The following is a 22212-nucleotide window of genomic DNA, read 5'->3' as shown; positions in this document are numbered from 1 at the left end:
TCACTGTGTTCTAAGTCAGGTCTCACATGCTTAAAGAAAGCAAAAGTCTTTTGGGAAGGAAGCACTTCTACATCTCGAGGATTTGTTATGGTCATGTGTAAATCTTCCTTGCCTCCTTGAAAGAAAAGTATACAGGCGAGACTTGCTGTCTGCCCGTGTTTACAGAGCCTGGGCTCTGTATGAGGCAACTTATCAAAAGCATTGGGTAGGGGCACACAGAGCAGGAGATGGGACCTACGTCCTCAGAGCATCTCCCAGGTTGCTGGGCAGAACAGACACTGCACAGCAAGTAGAGAGCATCGCAGCCGTTAAGGAAGTGGTACAGGCCATTTCTTTTTGGGTGTTCAACAAAGAGGAGGCACTCCCAATGGACTATAGCAACCCTGGCAATTATGAATTCAGATCAAAAGTTCAGTTTCAAGCCAAGAACTTCAGAGGCCCGGAACAAAGGTGTTTTATTCCCACAACCTCTTTGCTTTGCTGCTCTTGGCAGAAGGTCAGGAGGGCAGGAAAGGAGATGATAGCACCTTTCAAGTTTCTGATTGTATATCATTAGCATCAGGGGCGAGGCGTCTCACCATTTCTCCTCCTGAATGATTTATCCTGGTGCTCTAGTGTTCCCTCACCCGAGGCATTAGGAAGGAGAGTGTCTTCGTAACTTTGGAAACTGAGACTGAAAGAATATATGGCCAGTGAAAGGGGTGACTGCCCAGTTGAATCATGAGTTAAATTCTAATTTATCAAGACTGAGGATCTGAATGCTGCCACCTCTAACAGTTTCTTACTTGTTTTTTTAGGGATAAGACTGCATGAATATGTCGAAACAGCCAGTTTCCAATGTTAGAGCCATCCAGGTAAGTAGCCCTGCAACTTCTTGCCTGGTTGCTTAATAAGTCATATTTCTGGCGATTGTTCACTCCTAGCTGATGGTGAACTTCAAGAAGAAAATTAAGTTCTTCATAAGATTTGTAAGGTACAATTGAGAAAGGATATAAAACCAGTTAGGTACAACTGAGACAGGAGAAGCAAGCTATTTTTGTTTAATTGTTCTGAATTATAAGACAATCAGTTTATAAGTGAGAATTAAATTATCTTCTAAAAAATTTAGTGTGTATGTTTTTTGATATGTTTTGGATGTGTTCATTGATAGAGGATATATTCAATTTTATTTTTAATTTCCAATTGATATGTGCACAAACAGATGAATCACAGTTTGTTGACTCACGTGTTTGAAATACATCTTTCTTTAAATAATATCCTTTTGTAGTTAAGTGTTCTTCCCAGGGCTTGGGTATTCATCTTTGAAAATTCATATGTTATTAGTTGTCCATGTGCCCTCCCAGCAAACAAATTCCTTGGTTGTTTAAACTGACTTAAGTGTCACCCACAAAAAGGGAAGGAGGAAGCAGGCATTTGGAAACAAAAATACAATTATGAAAATAACTTGCAGTATTTGTTTTTACTCAATATTTAATTTGTTATTTCTCTTAAGGGCCCTGTATTTGACTCTCAAATGGCTTCCACCCTGAAACTCTGGGCACAGTGCTTTATTGTAAAATTCCATCTTTCCATCAACATGGAGGCTGTCTGTGCTTTCTCCAAAGGGACTTTTTTCTTGGACTTTTCTGAATACTGCAGGTCATGTGGCAGTTCCTGAATATTTTAGGCCTGATGCACCATCACAACAGAAACACAATCATAAATGGTTGACTGTGTTGTGGAGGGGTGTGCTTGTGGCCAGGTTGCAAACACATCATCAAGGGGTTTAGAAATCCTAGCACACACCGCTGGTGGAGGTAGGTGGAGGGACAGATCTTTACCTGTCACGACTAATACAGATCCTTAAACTGAAGGGGTTCTTAAGTGGCAGGATGTAGAGCAACCTCTGGAAACATGTCATTGAACAAACCACCAAGGAAGGGCCTATGAATTTGGCAAGGATTCCACTCTGCATTGTCACATCCAGCCTTCTGGTGTCTACCTAGTGAGCCTCTGATTTCCCTGACAGTGTTAGCAGAATTATATTTTGTCTTCCAGACCTGTGGACATCCTTGAGCCTTTGAATCTTCTCTTTTACCCAGTGTAGAAGCAGTTAGTAGCATGGGCTCTGAAACTATATTACTAGGGTCCTTAATCCATCCTGTACTGGTGTAGGATCATGGGAAAATTACTCTCCCTACTTGACCTCTCTGTGCCTCCATTTCCACATCTGTAAAATGGAGATAAAATAATAGTATTCACTTCCTAGGGCTACATGTATAAAATGCTTAAAACAGCATAGTAGGCCGGGCGCGGTGGTTCATGCCTGTAATCCCAGCACTTTGGGAGGCTGAGATGGGCAGATCACGAGGTTGGGAGATCGAGACCATCCTGGCTAACACGGTGAAACCCTGTCTCTACTAAAAATATAAAAAATTAGCCAGGCATTGTGGCACACACCTGTAGTCCCAGCTACTCAGGAGGCTGAGGCAGGAGAATCGCTTGAACCTGGGAGGCGGAGGTTGCTGTGAGCCAAGATTGCGTCACTGCACTCCAGCCTGGACAACAGAGTGAGTGAGACTCTGTCTTAAAAAAAACCAAAAAACAAACAAACAAACAAAAAAACAGCATAGCAAGCACGCATTGAGTGTCAACCATTATTAGAATTATTATCATTCAGGAATACTTTATGTTAAAGTTGTGAGAAGTAATATCATTTAATCACTGCATTTGAACCTCCAGAAGTGCTAAACATAAAAATTCTTTTATTTTTGCAGGATGCAAAAACAGTCTTCTCTCGGGTTGTCTTTTTTCCCTCTTCCTTTTAAAACTGAAAGTGTGTTGGTTTTTCTTCCTTAATGGTCCCTGGCCTCCCTCAAATCTACACTGAAAATTCACTAGTATTTTATTTACTAATTTTGACCTTGATATATTTTTAGATTTGTAATATTTTAAAAGCTGCTACTGACTGTTCTCAGTAGCCGTTATTATACCGCATTACAAAAAATCCATCCATTCTGCCGACAAAGGCAATACAGCGGTTCCTTATGGATGTGGTATTGCCTCTTTCGATCTATTTTATGCCACACAAAAGGCCCAATTTAATGCACCTTCAAATGAAATATTATTTCTTGTGGGTAAATAGGATCAGCACTATCCGATATTTTCGTATTATCTTTGCATTAACCTTAAGTAGGGTACATGAAATAAAATATGAACGTGGTTACACCGTACACAATGGTTTATAGTAGGGACATTATCTAGGTTAGTCTTGTCTGGAACAAATAGAAGCCCTGATTAATAAGGGACTCTCCTCATTGTGTAAATACCATTTAAAGCTCTGAAATGTTCTACTCCATACCCTCTAGTCACTTATTTTTATTAGGATTTTATCTCCAATTCAGTTCATTTGTTATTTCCTGAGTGCATAATATGTGCCAGGCACTGTGCTAAGTGTAGGGTATATACAAAGATGAATTGATCCCTGATCCCTGAGATGAATTGATCCCTGATCCCTGTGTTTGAGGCACTCAAGGTCTCCAGTACTTGCTAGCTGCATGACTTTGAGAAAGTTATTTAGCCTCTTTGTGCCTCAGTTTCCTCATCTATCAAGAGAAGAATTAGTAACAGTCTTTATCTCATAGGATTACTATGAAGGTTAAATGAATTTAATGCGTGACAATACTCAGCTCAGTGCCTGGCTCACTGTAATTGCTTAATAAATATTAGCTATTATCATCATTCACCACCATCATCATCTACTTCAACAGCTTCCAAAGTGTGTTCCTTGGAATACTAGTTTTATGGGATGTTGTTAATTAGATTAGAGGCTAATATAGTTTAATGTTTGAAAATTTTTCTCAGAGTCCACAACTTGCTAATGGCATCAAGTTATTTCCAAGAGGGCAGAAACATATGCAATGTTTTCTAAACATATTGGACCTATTCAGTTACTGTCTTACAAGATAGTGTTTTGCAGTGCGAACTTCTAGAAACAGTGACTTAGATTTCTAGTTTGTCTGGCTTGGGTGAATTTAAGTTACTTTTGACCATAGCTCTAACAGTCAGGCATTTCAGGAGTCGAGTTAATGCACCTCCAGACAACATGGAGTCAAATAGTTACAAATCTCTGCAATGTTAGTTCACCTTTAGTCCACCTTTCTGTAAAATGGGGACAATCATACTATTTAATTGGGTTGTTATAATGAATAGACAAAATAATCTATAGTATACAAATTCCTTAAGAGATGGGCCTTCTAAGTATCCAAGTAATGCATGGAATGGCCTTGGCTTTGTCTTCAACTGGTTCCATCTCCTCTGTGCACCAGAGTAAGAGGGAGGCCAGAACTAGAACCACCCTTAAAGGAGGTAGACAGTAGTCTTTCACATCCACACTGAAGAAGAGATGGCTTTTGAATTGTAAAGGGATTCTAATCCTACACTTCTCTTTAGTTGTATTAGTTAAATCTCTGCCAGGGGCATAAAAACATCCTGAAAGAATCAGTTGATTCTTTCTTAGCCCGGGGAGGGCCTTTGTCCCCTAAGCAGCTGATAAAGTTCTATGCCAGAGGTTGGCAAACCTTTTCTATAAAGGACCAGATAATAAATATTTTAGGCTTTGCGTGTCGTTTGGTCTGTTCCCACTACTCAGCTCTGCTGTTGTACCACAAAAGCAGCCATAGGCAGTACATAAATGAATGAATGTGGCTATGTCCCAATGAAACTTTATTTACAAAATCAGGTGGTGGACTGGATTTGGCCCGCGGACTATAGATTGCCAACTCCGGTTCTGGTCTCTCCAGGCTGCTTCTTACAACCCCACTGTTGGTGGGAATTGAGCTGCAATGAAGGTAACATCAGCACTCTCTGCATATTGGATCCTCTCCCTCAAATGAAAGAATTTGACATGACAGGTGGTGGGGAAAGCTAGAACTGCTGGGAATCTAATCCCATCAATGATCTGTTTGGTGACTCTCTCTAATGAGACCAAGTGACACCAGCCACTGGCAGCATCTGCCTGTCCTTCTTTCTCCTGAACACACCCACTTTGGGAACCACCACAGGCCTCCTTAGGGCCCCAATTCACACAGAGCCAATCTTCTCTGGATTGTCACTGATCCTTTCTCTCCACCGTTAATGAAAGTAAGCTGAGTATTATTTGTCCTCTCCCATGAGATCTGAGAACTTCATGGCTGACCAAAAAAGAGTCCTGTGCCCCAGTCTTAGCTCTACGACGTAAATTCACCCCCCTGGTCCTTGTGATCTTCAAAGGGAGGGGCTTCAGTTAAATGACTTCTAAGTCTCTGTCCAGCTTGTAAGTCTGTGAACTTCTTGAGAATATCTTGTAAGGTTTATTATCAGGATGACAATAATAGTTTCAGTTTATTCAAGGTTTACCATATACCTGGCCCAGTGCAGTGGGATTTCCATGGATCCTAATGTTAGGTTTGGAAAAGTGAAGTAACTCCCCCAGGATTATACAATTTGTAAGTAGGATAGTCAAGCCCTAAAATCAATTATTCAGTCTGATCCCCAAGCCCATGTTTGGAAGCACTCTGCAATGCTGTCTTTACTTACTGTTCCCACCATTGGCACAGAGAGTAAGGCTGGAGGAGTGGGTGTGGACCATCTCAAGGATAATCATAAGCACCAAGGCTACTTGAGAGGCAATTACCGTTTTATGGATGCTGCGTGCCTCCCTTTTAAAGAACTCAACCTTTAGAAACAGTGTCAGCATTTCAGTGAAGAAGCTGATAGTCTACACTGATTAAAGTCACCTTAAGAGTAAGTTGGCTTCGAGTTAAAAGTACAAAGTAAAGAGACTCAATGATAAACATGGTCTTGAAATTCAAACAACCATGGCTAGATCAACTTAAGCCGTTTGTAAAACTAAATCTAACTTATCATACATTTGAAAAAAATTATATGAATCCTGCATCATTAGTGAGTATGTGGCTTCTTAGCATGGGAAGTTTTCCATTGCTACCCAATCTATGTGTAGAAGAGAATATTCTGATGCTCCATGTTTCAGTACTTCTTTCCCTTCCCCACTAGTTGTCATTGTTCTTCCACTCTCCATTATCTAGGGCACAATGTGGAAGAAGAAAGCAGTCTCCACGGAAGATGAAAATATTTACAGATAGGCATTAGAGACTCTTAAGTATTTCCTGTGTAGGATTTCCAGTTTAAAAATGATTCCAAATATATGACAATCATTGGTATAGAGGAATAGACTATCACCATCCATTGTTAATCTGATAGATTGATTAAAGCTAAAAATCATAATGATCACACATGCCTTCCTTCAACATTTTATTTAAATTTAAAACATTAAAAATTAACTTTCATTTGCCATTTGTTTTAATGTAGATGCAAGGCCTTTTCGTTGATCATGGATCTACTGTTTCTTACATAAACCACTATAATACATTGTTTATGATTTCCAATGCTGGTTTCTTTTAAGTGTATTAAGAACTGGAATGTAGGAGTCTTACTCTCAAGTGGGTTCAGTATTACCTCCAGCTAATGATCATTGCGGCTCTGCCTAGCTCTATATTTGTGACACGAGGCAAAGCAGACACATACTTGCAAAAAGATGTCATTTTTTTTATGTTGACATCCAAAAGCACTTCAGGAATACAACCTGCCCCCGACTGATTGTGCACATTATCTTAATAGCCGTACAGTACATTCTTGAAATCTGCTTTTCCCTGGATGATGAGATTACAATTGAGTCATTCAGGAAATTATTGAAGGGAACAAAAAAGTGTTGAGAACAGAGCAAAAATAAAAACATTTTCAATATGAAACATCATGGGTGAAGAACAGTGGCAAAGTAGAAGTTTCTCAAAATTGTGTTGTGTGGGAAAGTTTTCCGTGTTTTGAATCCACTCCATATTTCAACAACCCCTAAGCAGTTATGCATTCCAGTGATATAGAATTTTATTTTAAAATAAGTTGACTATATTGTAGTAGGTAGATATGTGTGTGTCTCTCATTTTACGTTAATATATCAAACAAGAATCTCATTTTCTAATCCGTTATGAAAAAACAAACCTCTTTCTGAAGTCTTCTGTAAAGATGCTATAAATCTCAAAATGTCATATCTTGCTCCGTTCAGAGAATGACTAAGACTATGAGAATAGGAAAGAGCAGAAAGAAATAATGCAAAATGCAACCCTGTAGAATTTCCTCTGCCCGTGCTACAGAAGAATGGCATGGGGGAGGCTATAGATTCTGGCAGGAGCTGCTGGGGTCCTTTGAAAAGTAAAGATTGAATCAGTAGGGGGTCATCTGAAACAAATAATGCAATGGGAGGAAACTCCAGAAGCCTCTGAACTTCAGAAAACTCACAGTGGGTTCAGAAAAGGAGAGACAGAGTGCGGACGAAAAGGGAGGGGGAGATAAGAGAACAATGGCTGTGGAAAGCAAAGTTCAATAGGAATTGTCAGTACCCAGCCGGCTGGCAGCTCTCAGAATCCAACCCACTGGGGAAAGAAGATGTCATTCCATTGTAAGCCACACAGAAAGGGGTGTGGAGGAAATATTGTTTCCAGAATCCTCTGGGCTCAAAGCCCGGAGCCAAGCAAAGAGAACAATACAAATAATTAAGGGAGCAGTGGAATTAATTTACAGGGAATTCTTTCTACTTTTCTTCACCTAGTGAGATCAAGTGTAGTATTAATTTCACATCAGATAGGTCTTCTATCAGGGAACTGTATCCTATTCCGGCAAAAGATGATCTAGTAGATTTTTTTTCCATTCCCAACTTGGAGGATGTAACAAATTATATATAGCTTAGGAAAGTGATGCACCAGGTCTGCTGCATCAGGGACATATTTTTAAATCTCTAAAATGAATAAACCTCAGGGAGGGAAAAGAAATACAAAGGATTGCATTACAAAAGGAAAAAAAAGAGACTGCTTCCTTTGCATTTATATAGAATCTATAGAGAGAAGGAAGCCTATCCTAATATCAACTCTAGGTCATTGGTGTTAAACATTTTCTGTTTGTTTATTATTTCATAAAAGTTTAGCTTGTATTTTAAGCCTATTTTGTGTAGCAAATACACTCAATTTGTAGGTAGAAAAATTAGTCGCTGAGAAAGTATTTCATTTGTGTTTAAACACAGAGTAAGTCAGCGAAAGAGACAAAATATGACCCAATTTTCTGGCCAATGGAATAAAAACCAAGAGGTACAGGTCTACATATTTTTATCAAATTCAAATTATAAGGAATTTTTCTTATGGCTATAATTTAGCCTATGACTTGTCACTCAAAGATTACTGTCCTACAATTATGCTAATGAAACATCTCTAATCGTCTTGTTAATAGTATAATGCATGCCACAACTGACAAAGCACGCCTCTTATACTCCCTTATTGGTGCACATTATGATCGAATGTTCGACATATTTTCAGGCTGCTTTGGTTCCTGTCAATATCTGCTGTCAAAAAAAAAAAAAAAAAAACCCATTTAAGTTTTTCTGATTTCTTGAGTGATGCTTTTAAAGAAGAAAAAGTGTCAAGTCAGTGAGTTAATGGCTCATTTTTCAATGTGGCTTTTCTTTGGTATCTATTATGAAATTATCCATTTTATCTGCTCGTTTTCAAAGACCACTCTCAAAGTGTAAGTCTCCAATATCAGAGCTGCTTTAGAGAATTTTAGAGCTGGTTAGAGCTATTTTTGGCCACGTGAAAAGAGCTCTTTAGAGACGGGTTTGAGAGAGTGAGAAGGTCTGTCCCTGAAGTCAGGCAGCTTCAATTTGGAATCTTGCCTTTTCCTGGAACTATATGTATGACCTTGAGAGAATTAACCTCTCTGAGGATTCATTTCTTCATCAGTAAAATGAAGATGATAATACTAACCTCAAAAGTTTGTTGTGAGGATGCAGGTATTTAAACCCTCCACCTCTGCCTGCTTTGCATTGTAGATATTCTTACAGTACTTCATTTGAAGGAAGGAAGAGTTCCCTGGTTAAGAGGTTTGAAAACCATTGACACAGCCTAATATTCATATTACAAATGGGGACAATGAGACCCAGAGCAATTGTTACTTTTTCAAGCACAGAGAACTTGTAGCAACTGCTAGCATTAGGCTCTTTTCACTATTGTTAAGCCACCCGTGAAACATGGAGAGGCCACATGGGGGCGCATCACTAAAATTAATCTCCGAACAGGAAAAGTAGTCATCTTGTAACATGCCCTTCACAATATTATATTATTCTGGATGACCTTTGCATGTCCCCTTACTAAAAACTACAATCTACCATAGAGCATATATACTTGATTAAATGAGTTAATTTAGCAATCAAGTCTTTCAGAAACAATATGATAACTTGAGCTCACCGTTAGGAAGATGCCCCCTGTAGATGCTTAATAAATGGGTTGGGGTAGGGACAATTTAACTAAACTTTTAACTGGTTAACTTTTTCCCAAATAGTCCGTATATTGATTTTTCCCCTCTTTTATCCAAACTGTAGTGATGGAAATAGTCTATTGGTCCAATATGGATTATCTTCTGTGAGTATTATTTACACTGTCTTGATCTTCTTTATTCAGGCCCCTATGATATTTCATCCAATCTAAGACACTGTCAATTGTAAAATACCATTATTTTACATCCTGCCAAAATAAAGCAAATGTGCCAACTAAAATTGTAGGACACTATTGGTTGTAAGACACACTCTGACCAGAGATATTAAAAGAGATGCATCTTGGAATTCATGAAGTATGGCTCCATATTTGCCACCATATAAGACAAATCTTTCTCCTCTCTTATGCCCCCTCCTCCTCCCACTCGATGCCACCTGGTATTTCCATTACACATAAAAATAGCATAGAAAGCTCAGCCTTAGGTTTTTAAAATGCTTTTCTCTAAAGTTGTGCTGGATTTATATTTTAACATATGCGGTACATACTGATTAAAAATACTCCTTGGCTTGTTGGTACTAGGAATGGCTCCACAATGATGTACCTCTCCGGTTACTTCCCACAAATACTTTGGATCTATTTCTTTCTGTGGTATCAGCATTATTCTAGTAAGGATGGGGTGTTTTAAAGCCCCTGGGTAGGAAAAGTCACCTCCTGCTCCTGAAGGGAGTACAACACAGACCTGCCATGTTGCATGAACATGGACACTGGATGCTTCCTGTTTCATAGGGTTAAGCATTCCCCTGGCAACAGAGCTTGTACAAGGCAGTTCCAAATGGGACTTACCACACTTCCTAATAACTTCCTTTGGTGTGGTGCCAAAATCATACAATCCATGTCATAAGATAAAAAAATATTTTGCTCCCTTTGTTCAGGCATCATTTACATGCATAACATCAAAACGAAATTTCAACTTTTCAAGCCCACATATCCAATTACTCATAAGGCAACACTTTATCTTCAATGGAAAAATATTGTATTCTACTTTAAAATAGTATTTGATGGTTGTTTTATGTGAGTGATAATACTGGTTGAGGACATTTTTGATCTGCATTACATATATTCACCTTTTGACATCAAATAAGTATGGGCAAAATTCAAATTTATATATTATCTCTCCAAGTTCAAATTACAGTGTCAATATATCCTTACCTAATTTAATGTTTAGAGGATGTCATGAAGGTATTTTATGTTTACCACTGATGGAGATTAGTATTTTATCATCATAAGGGAGAAGAGTCAATGGTGGTGATACGAAGGGAACTTGGCTTTCCAAGCACCCTCTTTACTCCTTACTGACCCACACAAGTACATGTTGGGAAGAAGGTAGAAGAGTGTCAATTTCAGAGACTATGGCAATAAAGTGCAGGACATTATGGAAAGGAGGAAGTAGCTTAGGGCGTGTAAATGTCTCCCCTCCCATGTGGTAAATTTGAAGGGACCGGAAGGAGGGCTAAGGTGTGGGATGACTTATGCAGATGCTCTTTCCTCCTTGCCTGTCATTATGTGTTCCCTCCTTATCCCAGAGAGAGAAAAATAATATGCACCTCAGGAGGGCAACAGCCAGAACAAACTGTCTTCAAATTCTGCCATCCAACAGGAAATTGTAAAATCACTGCACAGACCTAAGGATGTGTAATAAATGAAATCTGTAATAAATGTAATCTGTAATAAATGGAAGTCAAATTTTCCTTTGCATATTTTTATGCTGTCATTACAGCAATTTTCCTGAGATAAAAAGCTTTGAAGATGTACTTTTCAGACGCATTTTTCTTCACAACGATTACTGTCTCAGAATGTCATTGCAATTTCTTACTTTTTTTGAGCTAAACCTACCCTGTTTTCTCTTTTAGGCAAATATCAATATTCCAATGGGAGCCTTTCGGCCAGGAGCAGGTCAACCCCCCAGAAGAAAAGAATGTACTCCTGAAGTGGAGGAGGTGAGGAAAACTCAGCTCTCAGAACACAGCAATGTTTTTCCCTTCTAAAATCCTCACCAGAGGGGGCAGAGGCTAGGCAAGGGCTGGCTATCCAGGACAAGGGAGGGGGCAAATGGCTGTGTGTCAAGGAATAACATACAGTATGTACATTTTTTTAGTTGTCTTGCTCAGTCAGCCCTGAAACGCACTGCCTTCTCCCTTCCCTTCAGCCAAATTTAAGTACTGTACCTGGCACCATTACTTGAAGGTACTGAGTTTAACTTCCAGTCTGTTGATTGACTGATTAACTGATTGTTTGATTGATTGATTGTGTGTATGCGTGTGTGTGTGTGCACGTGTGTGTGGTGGGGAGGATAAAGCCTCTGAGAAGTTTTTCGTCTAGCAGTAGTCACTAGATTGGTAAGTTTTCACTTGGGATCTTTTATCCAACTCAGCAGGTTGTAATAATACTTAGTACAGCTTCTGATAAGTGAGAATGCAGAAAGTAAGCACATTAAATTATTTGGGGATTCAAATAAACAACAAACAAACAAAAACTCAATCTCTAAATGTTTCCTTTGAAAAGGGGACTTTGCAAGGGAGTCTATCAAGCCTCCATTTCTGTATTTTTTCCTCTTTCTAATTCTTTACTTCTCCCCCAAATTCAAGTACCCGATCTGCTAAATTGGAGGCTAAAATTAATAATGAATGCCATAAATAGGGAAGAGTTTCTTCCTCAGATGTTTATATTTCTTACCCAATTGTAACTTTTCTGCTGAAACCTGGAAGGTCTGATTCTCAAAAAAGATAGTGAAGGTTTTGGAACATTTTATTAGCACAAGACATGGAAAATGGAATCAAATAAAGCCACAAGGCATAGCAAACTGTATTTCATCTTTTTAAAAGGGTAAAAAGGCTTTTTAAGTTTACCAAGTGACATTTTTGGTATTTGTCCCAAAAGAATATCTATTACCATTTCAAAGGTTCCTAATACAACTTTGTCCTGCTTGTAACCTTTTTTTCCTGTGAATATTCCTGATGTCGTCCTAAATTAGTGGTTCCAGTCTCCTATCAGTAGAAAGATAATTTTTGAAAGGAGGAGATGGGGAGTATTTGAGTGATATCATCAAGTGCTGGAATTGCAGCCACTAAGTCACTCTTGATGAATACAAATTTTGAACATACAAGTTGGAAAAACCTGGCCCTACCCTGCTTTTATGGTTACATAATCTCAAGTTCTGTTGCTGTTAACTTTGCCATCGAGTTAACTCATGATCATGAGGTCTCCATCTGGGACTTGGGCCAAGTATTTCAGAGTCTGTGTCTGCAAAATAGGATCACCTCCATTCCTCAGAGGGTCACTGCGAGGGCATGATATAATGGACATGGCGTAGTCTAGTAGGTATTCCATAAACTATTTTTCATCAATTGATGTAATTATCCAATTTTCATGAAGCACTCCTGGGCCTATTGTTTTTGCATGTTGTAAGGAAAAGGCATGGGGAGGTAAAAGGGACGGCGGTGGAATTCTTCTATACCTTCATTTATCTGTAATTAGATTTTTCTTTGCTTCCTGTGCTTCCTCTTAAACTGTGTCTGTCACTACCATGGCAATCAGTCAGAAAGTAGCTTGACCCACTTTTCTCACTAAATTGACTGATGTAACAGCTGTTTTGGAGGCTCACATTTCATTTTCCACCTGTGGTACAGATGGCCCCTGGTTCTTCTTTGTCCAACTGGTACTTTCCTCCACACAAGTATCTCAGGGGACTGGGGAAGCACTTTGCTCTCTCTTGCCTTGTATCTAATCTGTTGGTTGCAGTGCATTCTAAAATAGACAAGAACTGATACAGCTTGGTGTGTGAACACCTACTTTATAATTAGCCACGTATACAAATGGCCAACTAGTATTTTTCATAGGATGGAGGTAGTGATGTATCCACAAAGACACAAAGACCCCAGGGATGTTTCTGTTTTTTGTCTTTCTTCCTTTTTTTTTTGTAACAACTTATTGTCCAACAGATGGAGTATTTCTTGAACTGTACCATACCTTTCTCATAGAGCTCATTGGGCAGAAGGGTGGAGCTAGTGATGGTATTTCTTTACCATAAAAGCAGAAATAAACTCTCAGGATTTGTGCAGTCTTAGGGAGGGAGTGGGATCTAATGACTCAGTCTCTGGCCTGGACCTCAGATTAAGTTTCTTATGAAGACAACATTGTGAGGGGAGTAATTAGACAGCTTGGCTTGGCCACAGGGTGGGTTAAGTAGGATTTTGTCAATTAGCTTCAGGCCCCAGCCACATTTTAAGGCATAGTTTGAATGGGAAAATAAAATTTGGATTTGAAATAACATATACATCCACATTTACTATCATTATCATCTAGTTTGCAAACTTGGAATTGCTTAATTTTGTAGACTTAAAATTCGTTCGTTGCCTAGCCTTGCATGAGGATAATTACTGTATAGAGATCATAACATACCATCTTTGAACAAAACAGATAACCTCTATCACATTCAGGAGGTTCCCCATCTAAACTCAGAAGGACTTTTGATCCTGACACCCTCTCAGATGTGAAGAGGATGTTCCCCAGCAGGAAGCCAGAATGAGTCTTTGGCTGTCTGCCAAGGCCTGTGAGCACTGACCCTGTCTTTGGCCCACCTATGGTTTCTGGTAAGACCTTTGCTCTGCTCACAGAGCTGGAGTACACCCTCTATCTGCTTGGCCCAGCCACAGATGGGCATGTGCCCAACACTGAGGCCTTACAGCCAAATGTTAATAAACAGGGCTGGTCTTTTGCGTAAGACAATCAGCTGCTTGCTTGATTTGAAGGGTATTGACAAGCCTCTACTAAGCTTCCCAAATCTCTCTTTTGACTGAAATACTATCATTATTAAGCCACAAAATAGCAGGTTGTGATTTTCTGTTAATTATTTCCCTCTCCACCTGGCTCCTTTACAAGATGCAAACATTTAATTCTGGTCTAGCCACTTCCCAGCTGTGTGGCCTTGGGGCAAGTTTCTTAGCCCTTCTGTGCCTGAGTCTTCTCCACTGTAAGACAGGGATGATAATAGTACCAGATTTCTATGGTTGAGGTGAGGATTAAATGAGTTAGTACATGTAACTTAGAACAGTTAACAGTGTGCCATTATTATTAAGTCTTTGGTGTTTGAGCATGAATGAGCAGGCCAGATTGTATTGTCCCACACAGGAGAGTTTAGGGAAAAACTCAGTAGGATATCTGGCAATAATGAGGGAGATGAAAGTGAGATCACTTGAATATGTTTCACTGTTTTGCCAAGTTTTACAAATACCCTGTGACCCCCAAGGGAAACATTTCCCTTCACAACAGCCATTCCTGAAACTGAGAATGCTGCTGTGGCTGATAAGCCTTCTTTTACACTCTCTTTATCTAAGCCAAAGAATGTCTTTCATGTCCCTTCTTCATTCAAATATCCACTTACAAAATTAAAAAAGGACATATTTATTAGCCAAATGGGGCCATCTGGAACCCTGTTTGTTTATGTCTTAACTTACTATAATTCTTACAATTACAAATTCATAATATAAATGGAATCTGATTCCTGTTATGTTTTTAAAAGATGAGAGAAGTTTCATTTAAGAAAATGCACCATTAACCCCCTTCTTCCTGAGTCAATATCATGTCTAATTACTAAATATATTGAATTATAATTTCCCATTATATGTGACTTTACCAAATCAAGTGGTGAAAGTCTTATGTTGATAAATAAAAAAACACAATGCATTGAAGTTTTAATAAGTAGAGAGGAAGGTGCCTATTAAATATTGTTATTAATCTGCAAATGCTCACTGCAAAAATTTTTGCATATAAACATGTAAGTACAGACATTGGCTTTAATGTGTTAAATGTGCCAATATAGAACATTTTGATGTTACAAAGTCAGTAAATGTGACTTATCCAGGAACTTAACAGAAGGAATTGGAAACATTTTTCTCTTTCATGCTTCTTTATTAAGGTCTACCCACCTAACAGCCGTGGAAACATTTATAAGTGAGGAAACATTTTTCATTTCACCACTACACATATATAAAACACATACACACACACACAGCACTTTATAGCCTTGTTAAAAAATTCTTTCTGAAAGCATAGCAAAGAACATTTTGGAATATCTAGTCCTCCAAGTGGATGCTTTACAGTTTTAATTATTGCTTCTAAATCTACATTTATAACTGATAAATGTGTGTGCATGACAAAAAACAGCTGATTCTAGGGCTCTGTACACTGACCCAGGGAAACAGTATTTTCCAGATATTTACAGCAGGTATAGTCCACATTGAAATACTTTATCATTTTGTTTGGGTGAAACGTTAGCTATTTCATCAGCACTGTACCAGATTTAAAGAAAATGACTGTAGGAAAAGCCATTAGCCCTTAGTAGAAGAACAGCACCTCAATATTTTATGTCTACTCATCCCCTCCGATAAACAATTTAAAAACATTTCTATAAAGGACGTGACTACTAAGTAATTTGTTAGAGTTTGGGGAAGCTTGAATACTTTCTTCCTTTAGGTTCTAACCAATTTGAGAACTAGACATAGGATCCAGACAGGGATTAACACACACCATCAGCTTTAATACCCAAATGACAGGGCTGCTGGTGGGGGTTGAGGGTAAGGGTGGGGTGGAGGCGGGGCATAGGGCATAGGGCCCACCCTCTCTGGTGAGAGGCAAACATGCAGTTACTTATTTCTTTTCCCGGGAACTGTATTGGTTCACCCAGTTGTTGGCCAAGCAGATGGAGATCTGCGCCAGTCTGTGTTAGTTTGGGTCCTTCAGGAAACTGACCCAAAGATACTTGCTGGGGAAAACACTTGTAAGGAAAAATGGGAGGGAGTTGCCCGAGGCTGGGAGGGAGAGAGGGATAGAGGGTTGGGTGGAAGCATCTCAGACTTCAGTGCCGTACTGAGGCAAGTTCTCCAGGTGAAGTCGCTCCGCAGAGGAGTCCCAAGTCTCCCAGGAATGGGCCCGCCTTAGAATTCCTGTCGCACTCAGTCATTGGCTACAAGCAGCCGTGGGAAGTGTGACCTCAGCGTGGTGATGGATGGCTGGATTTCAATGTGAAGCAGCTGGAGCCCTCATTCAATTATCCTCTCTGCAGTAAACTGATCCGAGAGGCGCGTTCTCAAGGCTGCCACGGTGATCAAATGTTCCTCCAACACCTTTCCCTGGGGCCACAGAGAACATATCCTCCCCTACACACCACCTCTAGCAAATAGAAGGAATGGGCTAATAATCAACTTTTTTTTTTTCTGTATAAATGAGTTTCTGAAGTTCTCGGAGCCACACACAGCAACTGATGTTGTTTTATAGTTACCATTGTATGTGTGTTTGGTGTATGTACATAGAGGCATAGATTTTCATTATGGCACATTCTTGGGATTGATCCAAATAAACAACAGTCAACAAGTATGCGCGTGCACCTCTGTGACAGACACTGGAAATGCCACAAGAAAGGATAGGATGTGGGTCCTGCCCTAAAGTTGCAACAAAAATATAACATTCAATGATAGGAAATTTAAAATACTTCCCAAAGCAGGAGAGAGCTGGGCTTCCTCTGCCACTCTGTCTTGTCGTGCCCATATTCAAACAGGTTTTGCTTACGTTTGTTTCAGTTTATTTATGCATCCCATGCTCTAACATTGTACAAATCTTTGCTGTCAGGCATATTATAATTGTATGATTACAAATTAAAGTCAATCTTGTAAGATGCTTCTCTTGGAAACACAAATCCTTTGAACTAGTAGTAATTTTTGTTAGTTATCAGAAGTTGAACATACTCTAGTGTTTTCTAAGTTATGTGGAAATTACTTGTTTTCTTCTTCCAACTTTATTCCACACTTCACAACAAACTTTAGGAGATTTTATTGAAACTCTAAGGCTGTCTCAACAACACAAGGGACAGTCACTCTGCTAGAATCACACTTTGACATCATTGTTACTTTAATTTTTTTTTCTGGTTCATGCTTATGGCCCAAAGAGATCAAATGTGATTTTTGGTGAGTTGGATTTCTTCTCCTTGCTCTTCAGGGTGTTCCTCCCACCTCGGATGAGGAGAAGAAGCCAATTCCAGGAGCGAAGAAACTTCCAGGACCTGCAGTCAATCTATCGGAAATCCAGAATATTAAAAGTGAACTAAAATATGTCCCCAAAGCTGAACAGTAGTAGGAAGAAAAAAGGTGAGTGAAAAACTATCTTCTTTGTCTCAAAAAGTCCTCTGTAAAATGGTTTAAGGAAGCCTTCCACAGAAGAAATCTGGAATTCTACAAGAGTTCATTAAATACCAGGTGCCTTCAATTTAAGTCAGTATTTCTGGTGCAGTTTTCTGGTTAAGCCAAGTTTTTGGGCCTGTCTTATTCCATCACCAGTCATAGATCCATTGAAGATGTTAGCCTGCCATTCTCTTTCTGATCATCCTTCTTAGTTGTGGAAGGATGAAGTTGGGAGAGGAAAGATGCTTGGGAAAAGGCCTTGAGGTTTTCATCTTGAGGTCCAGGGAGCCCTCCCTCACTCCATGCTTCAGTTTCCTCACCCAGGTATCACAAAAAGCAACAAACTATTCATGAGCTAGAGGATCAGAGGATCAAGGAACTGAACAAGTTTGGGAGTATAAAGAGGCAGAGACCCAGGAGTTCAGTCCTTTAATCAAGTAACCCAGGTGTGTGTAAGGCAGACCAAGAGGATGCCATAACGACTCTAGGTGTGGATGAGGTTAAGGGTAGCTCAAAACTTGTATGCTGCCTTACAAGGCACTGCAAGCAGGGCTTGTGACCTTATTTTTATTTTAATTGCATCTGTTCAATAATGATCCCTTGGTGAGGGTTCAGACAACCCTCCACCTGGCTCCTGTGGACTGGTATGGGAATTCTGCCAGCAGGGGAGTGTGGAATTGGCCCAAGTCTTCACTCTTTCTCCTAGGAGACCCTGGGAGCAAATCTACCCTTTTCCAACATTACTAAGCCCGCAATGTACAATCTATTCCATTTCTTAAGCAGAAATTTAAGTCTAGAGGAGAGGAATCTATATTAGGAACATAAAACAGGTTTTATCTGGTTGATTGTCCATTCATTCATTTGGTCACTCACCCATTCATTCAATCGATATTTATTGAGTGTTCACTACATGCTGCACACTAGAAACATTTATTCGTCACTTACCATGAGCAAGATACTGTGCGAAGAACATTATGTCCATTGTTTCTTTTAAGCCTCATGATACTCAATTATTGTTCTCATTTTTGAGATGAGTCTTAGAGAGACTGAGTTTCCCCATCTATCATGTATTCTAAAAATGGAGTCTGCCTTCAAAGTTAGTGCTATCACCTACTTGTTATATTGCTTCAATCCCTTCCTCCCACCACACCTTACAGATGGATTGCATGCTTTCTGTTGGTGTTGGGGTGAAATCTTCTGACTGGATGGCAGAGGCAAGCAGTGGGGCGGATAGGGCCCCGCTGTGTCTTCTCCTCTAGACAGAATGAGGAACAGAATGTTCTGTCAGACAGTCCAGTGCATTGTGGCAGTGTTATTTGTGTTACACTTACACTGACTTACTAGGATGTTTGCAGGTTAGTTCAGCCGAAAATATTTTATAGTTAGAGAAAGAGAGGAGCCGTTTTGAGTTAAAATAAAACAATAGTATCTGGTGTTTTCAGCACAGTTACATAAAAGAACACAGGAGTAAGAGTAAAACAGAGTGGATCTATGACCATAGACTGAATCCCAGGAACCTGGATGGGGACAAATTGATGTGAGCAGGAACTAACCTGACATGTGGCTACATGCACTTGTTGCTACTGATGACAGAATGGAACAAATTGATGACTGAGTATCACACTCAGTCCTGCTTGTGTTGCCAAGTTGAGATGAAATCTTTCAATATGGTAGGGATGAAACTTCAGAACTTCCTTGTTAGAAAGCCTGGAGAGGGGAACTTAACTTTTGGTAATATTTATTATCATCACCCAACCAAGGCTGTTCAGTTGGACACACGAATTTTTAATGCAAACTTTAAAGGTTTTTACTTTTATGAAAACCATGTTGACCTAAATTTAACCTCAGTTCCAGTTCCAGAAGAATTTGGTTTTGAAGATTCAGAGGAATGCGGTTTTAAAATGAGCTTAGAGAGGATCTCGCAGTGTTACTCAGCAGTGGGGTTGATTCAGTAGCCTTGGCTGTGTGATTACAGGGAACAAGGAAGAATAACAACTCAATCAAATATTGAAAATGTACCAGAATATCCAGAACACATTTTTGTTACTTTATTTTCTCAGAGAAGACTTTAATGATTCTTCTCTCCTTAACAAATTCTAATGTAAAACCACTCAGAGAGACCTATTTTTCCTTATTCTTACAGTAATGTGAAAATCTAAGTTGTCAGGGTAATTGATCTGAATTCCAAATGAGTACAGTCATTGTTTTAAGCCAAGGAATGATCTTTACTTTTTGTAGCAAGCTGTTTTGCTTTTGACTTATTTTTCTCCTGCAGATATTTTGAAATTTCGAGACTTCAGTAGTCATAGTCTGTGGTCGCAGAAGGAGAACATTTCTTAACATTGATAGATTCAGTGAACTCATAAGCAGTAAATACCCTGGACCAGCCATCACTTAACCCTTCACTGGTTGGATTGATTTTTTTTCTTCTTGGGTCACCACTTTGTCACCCACCCTCACCCTGTGTTGTCCAGTTATTTGATCAAACAGATCATTGTTTGAAGATTGAATAAGTCCATCATGTCCATAGTGTCAAACACAGTGAAAACCACAAGGCGCAAGGTCCACATAATATTATAACTATTACAGTACTTTAGACACATAAGACAGGTTAGCATCTCATTCTAGCCAAGATCAGTGCCTCCTTTTATGTGGGATTTCAGATTCTTTCCATGCCCTGTGTCATGGATAGAATTGTTCACAGAAATCAATTAAAAACATTACAGAACAAGAATCAGAAAGGCCAGTGACTACCCCGTTGGGCACCAGAAATCATGGCTTATGGAAAAGGAGTGGGGGCCTAGACCCAAACCGGAACCAGACCAGGCAATATAGAGACAGCACATACCAAGTCAAAGCCAAAAGACACAGGAATGTCCCAAATGGGGCCCCAGTCCAGGCTGGAACTGGCATGGTACAGGGAAGGTAGGATGTTCAGCCACAAAAATTTTGGAATCCTCCTGGCTGTGATTTAAGGTAGCCAGATGGTGACTTAAGAAAGTCCAAGAACCAGATGAAGAGGCAGGACCAGTGGCAAAATCTAGAAACCAGGTGTCCTCCAATACTTCCAATCCTGCTTGTTTGCTGCATTATCAGGAATCCTGCAGGGCCACTATCAGAAACCACTGTCAGCTTGTTTGCTTACAGTTGTAGCAGATACCACCTCAGGCTTCATGGACAAAGGTCTGGGGAACCTGCAGAACCGCTCTGGGCTGGTGTTCAAACAGACTTTGTGTCCATTTCTGTTTGTTCCCGACCCTTAGATCAGAGCATAGGTACTCAGTAAAGAACCCTTGAAACTAGCTTCTATACCATGGGTACTTTCTTCTTTCTGTAGTAAAATGTATAGATATAAAACTTGGTCCCTGCTCTCAGGATACTTAAGTCTTGATGGAAAGATAAAATACTTCAAAAGGTAGCTAACAATTCAAGAATTAGATAGCAGCTTAATTATTAAAGATATCCCAAGGCTGTTTATGACCCACTAACAACTAGGCAGCAGAGATAATGTTATGACTTTTGAGGGGCTAAGGTATGATTTGGGGTCAGGGATAATTTCAAAGAGGCAGTGGGAATGGAATGGTTTAAACAGAGGCTCAGAGATCACCTCTGGACAAATGGAGTGTCCAGGGTATTGTTAATAATTAGACCAGTCTAGTGAGACCAAAGAGATCCTCTAGGCACTACGTCTTAAACTTTTGGAGCATAACAAAATAAAACCCCACAGCCTGCCTACACCATCTCATCTCTTTTTCCAGTGGTAAAAGAACTCAGTGATATCAAAGAATTGAAGAGGAACAAAATAAGTATCAAAGTGGTAATGACGCATCAATTACAAGAAAAAGAAATGATTAGCAAAGGTAAAACCTAAGAATAATTCTACAATGATGCTAATAAGCACCGAGAAAGTCGCAATTGAAAGCCTTGGAACTGATGAAGCTCTAAAAAGAAATTCTCCTTCTGAAGTTTCAAGAATCCCTTCTGTCTGTGTTGGACATTGCAGCATGGCCACATGTGTGGCAGTCAGACTTCATGATTGTATACTAAACTAAGGTTTTAGAAAAATGCAAAATTTTACTGATTCTTGATAGCTCACTTAGTAGGTTTTGGTTGTGTAGAGACGTGAGAATCTATGGAATTAATCCCCATTCATCATTAGGAACTGAAGAAAGCACTTGTGTTTTTGTATCGAGAAGTCTTTTGAGGTCAACCAGTGGGCCTTGGACCATACTTTGAGAAACACTGCTGTAGGGCAGTAAATGAGAATGAGTTGGAATAATCTGCAGTTCCTTTGTACCCATACACAGCCTCATAATCTCAAGTTAGTCTCTATCTCATACCCCACATCAGCTAGCCAGCCCTGATTTTGGATTTTGTAGATTTGAAAAGAATCTTTATAATGCCCTGTTGGGGGAGGTGTGCCCTTATCTTAGTCTGCTCGGTCCGCTATAACAAAATACCATAGACTGGGTAGCTAAAACAGCAGACATTTATTTCTCACCATTCTGGAGCTGAAAGTCAGAGATGAGGATGTCAGTATTGTTGGGTTTTGGTGAGGGTTCTCTTCCTGGCTTGCAGATGGCCATATTCTTGCTGTGTCCTTTGATGTCTCTTCCTCTTCTTATAAG

At 39.6% G+C, this 22212-nt stretch overlaps 1 protein-coding gene across 4 annotated transcripts in view; it reads left to right on the top strand.

The window, feature by feature from the left end:
* The window catches only part of SMPX (small muscle protein X-linked), a 52139-nt gene that overhangs the window by 3017 nt on the left and 26910 nt on the right, over positions 1-22212 (top strand). For 2 of the 4 annotated variants that reach the window (NM_014332.3, XM_047441940.1), the window contains exons 2-4: positions 798-854; positions 11264-11350; positions 17403-17551. In NM_014332.3, the coding sequence (NP_055147.1) occupies positions 810-854; positions 11264-11350; positions 17403-17537 (267 nt within the window). In that variant the 5' untranslated portion in view covers positions 798-809 and the 3' untranslated portion in view covers positions 17538-17551. Of the gene's footprint in view, positions 1-797; positions 855-11263; positions 11351-17402; positions 17553-19115; positions 19126-21342; positions 21445-22212 lie in introns of all 4 variants that reach the window. The other 2 variants (NR_045617.2, XM_047441939.1) reach the window with 2 other exon arrangements.

The sequence above is a fragment of the Homo sapiens genome, chromosome X (genome assembly GCF_000001405.40).
Source record: "Homo sapiens chromosome X, GRCh38.p14 Primary Assembly".
In the NCBI taxonomy this organism is placed as follows: domain Eukaryota; kingdom Metazoa; phylum Chordata; class Mammalia; order Primates; family Hominidae; genus Homo; species Homo sapiens.
The sequence above is the reverse complement of the archived record's forward strand: the minus strand, read 5'-3'. Positions and strand labels throughout refer to the sequence as shown.